General features: G+C 42.5%; 1 non-coding gene and 1 pseudogene across 1 annotated transcript, besides 6 other annotated features; one reads left to right on the forward strand and one right to left on the reverse strand.

The window, feature by feature from the left end:
* Window positions 1-157, forward strand: RNVU1-22 (RNA, variant U1 small nuclear 22; annotated as a pseudogene).
* Window positions 17-676: an enhancer, noted in NCBI's record as "NANOG-H3K27ac-H3K4me1 hESC enhancer chr1:147735767-147736426 (GRCh37/hg19 assembly coordinates)". NCBI's record gives its function as "activates a minimal SCP1, AML or CMV promoter by ChIP-STARR-seq in naive H9 embryonic stem cells {active_cell/tissue: H9 hESC(naive)}" and the evidence as "EXISTENCE:reporter gene assay evidence [ECO:0000049][PMID:30033119]".
* Window positions 1,239-1,534: an enhancer, noted in NCBI's record as "tiled region #3868; HepG2 Activating DNase matched - State 23:Low, and K562 Activating non-DNase unmatched - State 1:Tss". NCBI's record gives its function as "activates a minimal TATA promoter and a strong SV40 promoter by Sharpr-MPRA in HepG2 cells, with weak activation in K562 cells {active_cell/tissue: HepG2 | K562}" and the evidence as "EXISTENCE:reporter gene assay evidence [ECO:0000049][PMID:27701403]".
* Window positions 1,239-1,998: a biological region, named in NCBI's record as "Sharpr-MPRA regulatory region 3868".
* Window positions 1,296-1,481: a silencer, noted in NCBI's record as "fragment chr1:147737046-147737230 (GRCh37/hg19 assembly coordinates)". NCBI's record gives its function as "represses an EF-1alpha promoter that drives an FKBP-Casp9 reporter gene in an ReSE screen in K562 erythroleukemia cells {active_cell/tissue: K562}" and the evidence as "EXISTENCE:reporter gene assay evidence [ECO:0000049][PMID:32094911]".
* Window positions 1,339-1,998: an enhancer, noted in NCBI's record as "H3K27ac hESC enhancer chr1:147737088-147737747 (GRCh37/hg19 assembly coordinates)". NCBI's record gives its function as "activates a minimal SCP1, AML or CMV promoter by ChIP-STARR-seq in naive H9 embryonic stem cells {active_cell/tissue: H9 hESC(naive)}" and the evidence as "EXISTENCE:reporter gene assay evidence [ECO:0000049][PMID:30033119]".
* TRQ-CTG4-1 (tRNA-Gln (anticodon CTG) 4-1) lies at window positions 1,633-1,704 on the reverse strand. Its single transcript has one exon. It is a non-coding gene; the product is annotated as a tRNA-Gln (tRNA).
* Window positions 1,649-1,728: a silencer, noted in NCBI's record as "silent region_1284". NCBI's record gives its function as "represses an Ori minimal core promoter by ATAC-STARR-seq in GM12878 lymphoblastoid cells {active_cell/tissue: GM12878}" and the evidence as "EXISTENCE:reporter gene assay evidence [ECO:0000049][PMID:35858748]".

Here is an 8,403-nt window from a genome sequence, read left to right on the forward strand (position 1 = left end):
GTAGTTACCTGGGAGGGAAGATAGTATTGTGAAGATCGTTTTTCCAGAGTGAGGTTTTTTCTATTGTGTGTACTGATTCTTGCGATTTTCCTAAATGTAGGAAATTCCACTGCATAATTTGTGGTAGTGGGGGGGGCTGCGTTAGTGAATTCCGCTGAGATACTGCAGTGCAAAACGTGAGCTCTACGCGAAGGGCTACTCTTAGTTTCTATGGGTTTGTAGCTTTGACGGCATGTTAAGTGTCGTCCTTACTGTCTCAAGCGTGAGAAACAGAAAGTATCGCGTTACGGTCCTCTCCGCCGCTGTCGTGAGCTTATTTAACACAAACTAAGTGGCCGCAGGGCTCTTCCCCAACCTTTCTATGTGGGGCTGCTTTTTGCAGACTTTGCTTCATGGTCTCCAGTCTCTTGGGTTCTCTGTGAAAACCTTCGTGTTTTTTCGTAGCCTCCAGAGTCACCCTTCACACAGCCTCTGCTTCTAACCGCAGCCCCCGCAGTAGTTTGTAGGATTTCTGTGCTAGCAGGGAATGTGTTCTCACCTCCTAGAGCCAGGTAGAAACTCTACGCAGACGGGTGCTGTTCTTTGGGATGAGAGCAGTGTCCCCGTTCCGTTGTAGACACAACACGCTTGCTTTCTGTAGGGGAACGGCTCTCCCCGCGCCCAGGTGCCCTTGCTTATATTAACCAAGGCCCGTAGGTCGGAATCGCAGTCTCACCTGTCGGCAGAATGTGCTGCGATCTACCCCAACTACCCGAACTACCCAGCAATAAAATGGGACACATTACGGAAACATGAGATAAAATGGATCATCTCAAAAACATTATGCCGAGTGATGAAAAGAGTGCATCCTGTGTGGCGCCATCAAGGTGAATTTCTAGAACAGGTAAAACTAACCTGTATAGTGATAGAAAATACATCATTGATTGCTGGGGTAGGGGGAGGGCGGGACTGACTGCAAGGGCACAGGAGGACCTTTTAAAGTAATAAACACGTCATCAAACTTGAAATGGATGCTTTTATATATGCTTTTATATATTTTTAATATATTTTTAAAATGTATAATTATATTTAATATATAATTTTTATATATTTTAAATATATACAATATATATTTTTATTATTTTATAATTTTTTCAGGTATATATATCCTTCTTTATTATTTTTCCTTCTTTTTCCTTTTGTAGGGCCTGTGGGGGGACAGTCTAGCTAAAATATACATTCTTCTCTCTGTAGATATACCACAAGACCATGAGTCAAGTGTTGCCCGAATGTCCGAGGCCCAGGTCGCCCTGAGAAGGGGTGGGGACTTCCTGGGTCGCTGGGTCCCTGGCGGGGGGGGTCCGGGCCTCCGATTGCACGGGGCTAGGAGGCTCGCCCAGGAAGGGGACCCTGCAGGCTCGGTGATCCCAACAGGATGATTCAGCAATTTCCCCGTGGTCCGGGCCACTGTGATAACTCGGTTTCTGGGACCCCGAACACCGAAGAGGGAGACGAAGAGGGTGACATCGCGAGGCTGAGACAGCGGGAGCAGAAGGGACACCGAGACCTGCAGCGCAGAGCTTCTGAACATCAGCGGAATCTCCATTCCATTTAGGAAGTAAAACACGGCCTTACCATGCCAATGAAACACAAAGGTTCCACCGAGACTCGAACTCGGATCGCTGGATTCAGAGTCCAGAGTGCTTACCATTACACCATGGAACCATGCAACATAAAGTTGTTAAAGGTGTCTGAATTAGTTCCCACCCACCCATGTTAAGGCATTTCTTTAGATTCCACAAGCAACACTTAAGGTAGGTGGACCTGCAGGAAGGAGCCATCCTTCTTGCTTTCTCTCTGCCCTCTCCGTTGATCGACTTCTGTCATTTCATTTGCACCCCGGAAAAAGAGGCAAAATCCACTGTGGGTTTAGGGCCAGAGAAGAGCCCTTGAAGCCTCGGTCATAGAGTTTCCTGTGCCGAGGTGAAATTCCTTCCTTCCCTTCCCCTCCCTCCCTCCCTTCCTCCCTCCCTCCCTCCCTCCCTCCCTCCCTCCCTCCCTTCCTTCCTTCCTTCCTTCCTTCCTTCATTCCTTCTTTCCTTTCTCTCTCTCTCTTTCTTTCTTTCATTCAAGCTTCGGTGGCAGAGTTTCCTGTGCCGAGATTAACTTCCCTTCCCTTCCCTCCCCTCCCCTCCCCTCCCTTCCCTTCCCTTCCTCTCTTTTCATTGAGACAGAGTCTCCTTCTGTTGCTCAGACTGGAGTGCAATGCAGTGGCAGTGGGTGATCTCCCCTCACTGCAACCTCCATCTGTCGGGTTCAAGTGATTGTAATCCCCAGTGGCTGGGATTACAAGCATGGGCCACCATGTCCGGCTAATTTTTGTATATTTGGTAGAGATGAGGTTTTGCCATGTTGGCCAGGCTGGTCTCAAACTCTTGACCTCAAGTGATTCGCCCGCCTTGGCCTCCGGAAGTGCTGGGATTACAGGCGTGAGCCACCGCACCCAGCCCGGAGATGAAATATCTGCAAAATTTCTGTTATTTTCTTTATGCTTTCCCTCTTTTCCATTTGCCCAAGGAGGCCAGATGATTGTCAAAACAGGACGTGGGACTTCCTGGGCACCTTGCCCCCTTCCTCCCTGTAGTATATAACAGAAGACAGCAATCAAGTGAGATTGGGAAGCAGGGAATCCTTTATTTTTTTATTCATATACTTCTATGTTTGTTTGGTTGGTTGGTTTTAACAAAATTTTCTCACCAGAAATGGAGATTTGTTGGATTTAAAATAAAAGCAATCAGCCATGTTTTACATTTCTGTAAAACACTCAAACCAGGCCATACTCTCCTATTTTGACTCAAAATCAGCCATATACTGTCCAGGTCAGGAGGCAGGCCCCTGACATTTAAGCACAGTGTGTTTTCTCAGAATTGGCCAAGTTGATGCCATTCCAGTTTCTCAATATATCATGACCCATTAATTTCAGTCTTTAAAAGTAAACACGTATTGTTACTGAAAGCCCAGGAATTCGGTCTAGGCCCTGCTGCTCAGCTCACAGAAAGCCAATCATTAAGACATTGAGTATTGCTGAGGAAGAAGGCTTTAATTGGGTGTTGCAGCTGAGGAGATGGGAGATCAGTCTTAAATCAATCTCCCTGATCAACTAAAGTGAGGGGTTTATGTAGCAGGGAAGAACTGTAACTGTGGGTGGGAAAAGAGGAACTAGGGAAGGGTGAGGAAGCACTCATGATGAGTGAGGGGTCTGGCATCTCATTGTCTGGAGGCTGTCATCTGCTGAGTTTCAGGTCTATGACGCTTTTTGAGAGGCCTGAGAGGCCTTTGCTGAGGAAGGAACTCAGATAAAACAAATGTCCTAAGTTTCAAGCTTTAAGACCAGAAGGGTCCATTTCTATGTCTATCCAAAAACACTGTCTGTGGGACTCTTGGGTTGATTTCAGTCCCCACTTTCTATTTGTCAGTTCCTCAATCATGGGGAATCTGATCATCCATCTTTCTGGCTGCATCATGTGGAGGAGGGGCATCCTGAGCAGCTTCACACCATGGGTGACTGCATGGCCACCCAGGAATCAAACATTCATCTAATACTGTAGTTTCTCCTGAAACACAATCTTCCTCTGTCCAGTTCCCCATTTCCACTAAAGACAAAACACAGCAGGACCAACCTAAAGAAGCTTCAGTCCAATATACTTGGCCTGATTACCCACACAAAGTGCAGCAAGAATCCTTGTTCATACAGGCTCTCCTAAATAGGCTTTGCTGGAATATTTCACAACGCCATTTCAGGCAAAGCCCTGGGAAAATTACCAATTCCTCCACCTGTGTCCTGTTATAAAAGAAAACAGAATCTTATTGAACTTATGCAAACAAACACATTGTCATGAGTTAAGAATATTCAGTTTACAAATTCTGTGGAAATTCGGCAGACAGAGAAAAATATGCCTCAAATTCTGTTTAGAAGACTATTCTACTCAATTGTTGCAGGCTATAAATAGCTCAAAAGGAAACAAGTTCTCCAGACTCTGAAGAATCAACAATGTTTGAAACAAACAAAGGCCATAAAAACTTATTTCAGTCCTCCATTAGTTTGATCCATGCAATCAACTCGTGCTCTGTCATATTCAGCTAGCAATCTCTATGAACACATCAGTCTTTCTATTAGTGCCCTGGAAATTTTCTCTTAAGTTCAATGGCACAATCTCCAAAGTTATCAGAAACCTGCATCCAAGAGTCCTTTTCATGGACTTCCCCAAAGAAGCAACGCCTGGAATGTAACTGATTATAAGTCACTTTTTAAGAAGAATCAAAGCAAAACAACAATTGTGGATGACAAAAGCCTTAAGACAACCATGGTTATAGATACAATTGACAAGGGAATTCTGTTGCTTCTGTGGCACACAACAATTTAACATAATAATCATAATTATTACTGACAGCATAGCAGAACTCTAGGAATCTCATACAATCCTGGAACACACATTAACAACACATCTGTGTCAATAGAACCCAAAGGAAGTGAAACACCACCTCAGATATGACAATGCTTCTTGCATAATTCTACATAACAAATAAGCCTAAGAAGCCTAATATATCTCTCTTGGACTTCAAGAACCTAATATCCAAAAAGTTAATTTGAGGCCCAAAAGGCTGAATTTAGAAATTTTACTCTTAGAAATTTTGCCAGATATCAAAGTTTTGAGACACTTGACATCACAAAATAGGATCACAGATCACCTTAGAATAGTCAGTCATTCAGCCAAAATGATAAAACAAAAATGTTCACCCTTTGATACAAAGGAGGCTGAGTTTTCTAAACAGTAAGAACTAATGAAGACATGAGGCCAACTCTATCCGTCTCTCCCTTTCATTGTTTTGCCTTGCAGTTTACTTTGAAAGTAAACAAAAATATTTTATGTATTATTAATACTGCACAAACATTTTGATCAAAAGAGAAAACCAAATTTTACCTTTGTGTGGTGTATTAAAATGTTAAAGCTAATTTTAGTAAAACCTTATACACAAATTTAATTATAATCAGTTTGAACATGAGGTAAGAGTTCCAAAAACCTTTCATAACCTTTTATACTTTTGTATTAAAGAGTAGATAAATGCTGTAGAAAACCCTGATATTGCAATACACGGGCCCAGATGCTGGCCTTGCATCAGTGTGTTTCTGAGTGTAATGTCTAATTTATAGAAAATCTCTGAATTTGAGAGGCCAGAGGGCCAGAGTGCGTGGATCACTTGAACTTAGGAGTTTGAGTCTAGCCTGGGCAATATGGTGAAACATTGTGTCTACGAAAAAAAAAAAAAAAAAAAAGAAAAGAAAAGAAAGAAAGGGAAAGAAAAGAAAGTCTCTCAACTAAACTTATCCCTCAAATTCCAGCCTTACAATTCTCACGTGCCCACCTCTTCTGTCTAGAAGAAGAGGGGGCATGAGGTGGAAAACGGGACATGTGGGATTGTTGGGCCTAGAGGGATTGAATGGTTTCAATTTCTGGTTCATGAAAGCAGTTCATTTTGATTTTCATCTTCCCCAGGATCTGAAGATGAGGCATTAATTGGTGTCAATATTCAAGATTTAGCAAAAGGAGGTATCTTTTTCAGATCCAGGAGTCAAAGCCCTATAAGCTAATAGCACAAGGATTAGTTGATAGGACATTTGTACTGCAGAAAGTTCTATTTCTCTCTAACATGTCACCAATAAAAACACTATGATCGGCTGTCCAGTAGTTACTGCCTGAAGCACTTCAAACCATTGTATTAAAGTGGTTAGGATACTCCTTGCAGGTAACTAGTTGCCAGCATTCTAATGAATGAACTGTGATTGAAAGCATCAAAAATGTGACAGAACCTATGCCAAACTTTTCCAAGTAAGACAATTAAATTTTCTCTCCATCATTTAATAAAATGCTAAATGCAAATATCAGTTTTGGAAATTCAGTATGAGGATAAATAATCTCCTTTTATTTAAATACTATACAACAAAACAAGAGCAAAGTGAGAGTAAACACACAGTCATTTCATTTTTTTCAGCTATTTTACTTATTTATTTTGAGACAGAATCTCCCTCTGTCACCCAGGTTGGGGTACAGTGGCAGGATCTCGGCTCACTGCAACCTCTGCCTTCAAGTCCTGGGTTCAAGGGATTCTCCTGCCTCAGCCTCCTGAGTAACTGGAATTACAGGTATACACCACCATGCCCAGCTGATTTTTGTATTTTTAGTAAAGACAGCGTTTCGCCACGTTGGCCAGGCTTCTGGCCTTGAACTCCTGGCCTTCAGTGATCTGCCCGACTCGGCCTCCCCAAGTGCTGAAATTATAGGAATGAGCCAACACACCCGGCCTTCTTTTCAGCTCTTTTAAAAGAGCATAATCACATCTTTCCAAGATTGGTTTCTTGATATGGTACTGATTACTGATTAGGCTGCTTTCACCATTAAAATCTTCAAACCAGTGCAACAATTGCACATGTTTTGTTTTCAAGTACACACATGAAAGCCCAACAGTGATACAAGGCTTGGGATCAAAAATCACTATAAATTCTCACCTCTTGTTTTTATTACCACTTAATCCTGGTGAATGTCACTTAATTTTAATAATGGTAAACACAACTTAAGGAGTTTGAGAGGGATCCAATCAATATAATATCCTTAAGGACAAGGCCAACTTTTCTGACCGTGGAAGCTTTGTACCCACATCACAGTTTTTCCTCATTAAAGGAAAGGGTCTGCAACCAACTCAAATGATTGACTGAAACCAACTCACTTACTGATTGGATTGAGTGTGTACCAAACCTCAGGCCACGGATGCCTGAGTCCTAGTGTTCCTGTGACATCCCCTTGGGGTAGTGGAACTCTGCCTTTCAATGATGGGAAGTCTTGGGCAAGAGCAAGTCTCCTCCCCTTGTCCAGTATAAACAGCTTTTATGTCTAACTCTACCTCAGCAGCTGGCCTACACCTGGGGCCAAGGGTTGGAAGGGTTCCTTGTTGCAGCATCAGCAGTAGATGCCTTTTGTTTCATGTGAGAGAAGTGACCAGGTATTGGGCCTGTACTCTGGTGGTGGCCGATCATGACCTATATGCCTACACCACTGTGGCAAGCTCAAGAAATTCTCTTTCCCTGCCACACATGTCTTGTCAGCACTTAGGATGTGAGAGGAAAGACCCAGCAAATGGGCAAAAAACATGCTATGTGTCTGGGACTCTCAGAGATTCTAAGCTGTCACAATAGTTCACACTTGGCCTTTAAGAAACAATAAAAACTTCAGAGATTATCTCCAACCAACATTTATGGCTGTCATCTTTTCCTTCCATTATCTGTCAGAGATGAACTGCTTCATGTGTTTGTCCTTTTATAGGGGGGTTTCTCATGCTTTGGACTTCAGTTGACCCAGGGGCCTTGCAACTTCAGCTCTCTGGTGAGATCAAAACACATGATTTCGCAGACCATACAGCTTTTTCTCGTCATTAGAGTGGGAACAACTGTCTCTTACAGCTTTCTACATCTTAAACAACTGTTGAATCACATGTCTGTTTAAAAAAATCCTTATATTCTCCTTTATTTCTGGATTAACTTCCCTTCAGGATACTACACAAATTCTGTTAGCTGATCACTTATTTTGAGGCTGTGAGGTAGACATAGTGAGCACCTTGACGATCCCTGCCAATGAGCCAATTCATTAGGTGCTCACGGGAAACCTGGGCCCAGACCAGTACTGAAACATGCAACTGTCACCCACAGCTCTAGCTGAATTTTTGTCATGAGGCTCTTTCTCCTCAATCAGCATACTAGTCTTAGAACAAGTTTGATATTGGGACTATCTTAAAATAGTCTTCCTGAACAGCTTGCTGGGACTCCAATTTCTGGTCAAATGTGAGCCAGCAGAGTAAAGACATCATTCTTGACCCAGGAGAAGGCAACAGTACATGGATACACCATATTTTTCATCAACCTCAGAACAGTTATCTCAATGAATATTGAAATTAGTGATTGAAATACTTGTTTCCCCAAGTGTGAGATGCTGAAAATTGGAAAAGTTTCCTTGGTTGTCTAAATGATTGTGTGCTCAGATTGAATTTGAGGGTACACAGGTGCAGCCTCCAGTGGAAAAGATTCTAAGAACTGGATGTGGGTAGAGGATGCAATTATGGAACTTGATATCTTTCCCACCTTCTTTTCTTTCTTCCTATTTCTACTGGTCTTGTAATGCTAGGCCCAGGCATCAATATACATACAATTAAAAAAGGCAATATTAGTGCAAAAGACACAATATATATACAATGAAATTAGATGGTGCCTATTGCTAAAGTTACTTTAATTTCACATTGTGTAGCCCAATAAAGTGAATGCCGCCCACCTACCAAGGGTATTAGTCAGCTGAGGCTGCCATAGAAAGATACTAAAGG

The sequence above is a fragment of the Homo sapiens genome, chromosome 1, assembly GCF_000001405.40.
Source record: "Homo sapiens chromosome 1, GRCh38.p14 Primary Assembly".
Classification (NCBI taxonomy): Eukaryota; Metazoa; Chordata; class Mammalia; order Primates; family Hominidae; genus Homo; species Homo sapiens.